Source organism: Homo sapiens, chromosome 7 (genome assembly GCF_000001405.40).
Source record: "Homo sapiens chromosome 7, GRCh38.p14 Primary Assembly".
NCBI classification, from domain to species: Eukaryota; Metazoa; Chordata; class Mammalia; order Primates; family Hominidae; genus Homo; species Homo sapiens.
In genome coordinates this window covers 16,941,934-16,943,393 of record NC_000007.14, presented here as the reverse complement: position 1 = coordinate 16,943,393, position 1,460 = coordinate 16,941,934, and the positions used below count along the sequence as shown (strand labels likewise).

General features: G+C 53.7%; 1 annotated feature.

Moving 5' to 3' along the window:
- Positions 212-713: an enhancer, noted in NCBI's record as "H3K27ac-H3K4me1 hESC enhancer chr7:16982305-16982806 (GRCh37/hg19 assembly coordinates)". NCBI's record gives its function as "activates a minimal SCP1, AML or CMV promoter by ChIP-STARR-seq in primed H9 embryonic stem cells {active_cell/tissue: H9 hESC(primed)}" and the evidence as "EXISTENCE:reporter gene assay evidence [ECO:0000049][PMID:30033119]".

Sequence of the window (1,460 nt, the reverse complement as noted above, 5' to 3'; positions counted from 1 at the left end):
CACCAGTCCCGTGCCATGCACCCATACTCCTCAGCCCTTGGGCAGTTGATGGGACCGGGCACTGCAGAGCAGGGGGCAGTGCTTGTCGGGGAGGCCCGGGCCCACAGGAGCCCACAGCAGTGGGGAGGCTCGGGCATGGTGGGCTGCAGGTCCCGAGCCCTGCCCTGCAGGGAAGCAGCTGAGGCCCGGAGAGAATTCAAGCACAGCGCGGGTGGGCCAGCACTGCTGGGGGACCCAGCGCACCCTCCACAGCTGCTAGCCTGGGTGCTAAGCCCCTCACTGCCAGGGGCCGGTGGCGCCGGCCAGCTGCTCTGAGTGCAGGGCCCACTGAGCCCGCACCCACCTGGAACTCGCACTGGCCTGCAAGCACTGTGCTCTGCCCTGGTTCCCGCCAGCTCCTCTCCCTCCACACCTCTCCGCAAGCAGAGGGAGCCGGCTCCAGCCATGGCCAGCCCAGAGAGGGGCTCCCTCGGTGCAGCAGCGGGCTGAAAGGCTCCTCAAGCATGGCCAGAATGGGCACCAAGGCCAAGGAGGTACCAAGAGCAAGCGAGGGCTGCCAGCACGCTGTCACCTCTCAGTGTCGTTGTCTGGGTTAAATCCCCAAAGTTGATTGCCTCAAGCCAAGGAAATCAAGGACACAGACATAGGTAGAGTGAGGTTAAGAGCAGAGGTTTAATAGGCAAAAGAAAGAGAAAGAAGAACAGCTCTCTCTCCTGCAAGAGACAGAGAAGGGCACCTGAGTGGGACTTCCAGCCTGTGGTGGAGTGCACAGGGTTTTATAGACAGGTTTGAGGAGGTGGTGTCTGATTTGCATAGGGCTCAAAGATTGGTTGGATCAGGTGTGATGTTTACATAGGGCGCAAAGAAGCTGCCCACCCCACCGTAATCTTCTTCCGCAAATGGGTCTCTACCTGACTCATGCCATGTTGCCTACTCCTTACTGTGCACGTGGTTGACAAGGAAAAGAGAAGATGGAGCCACCATGTTGGACAGGCCTAGCCCCCACATCGCCATTTCCTATTGGCACAGCTGCTTGCATTCACCAGTGCAAGCTTCCAGCTTGCTTGTCTATATCTGCAGCTCGATTTTACAGGCTGCTCTTTGTTAGAAAAGAAAATGATTTGGGGGTTGCTTTTCATTAAAAGGAAAACCTTACCAAGGACTTCCTTACCCTCACTATCTGCCTAAATAATTTCTTCTTAACTGCTATATCACCTGGAGATTCTTCATTGATTTCCCAAGGCCACAGCTCTTGGCAATCTCTGGGACAATTGCTCTTCATGACCTGCCCTATGACCCATAACTTATCAACAACAACAACAGAAGAAGAAGAAGAAGGAGAAGGAAAAGGAGAAGGAGAAGAAAAAAAGAAAATACCAAGAATCACAAAAAACTACAAGAAATATTTTTCTTCCAAAAGACTGTATGCTTGTGTCTTTCTCACACTAGGTTTTTCCAAA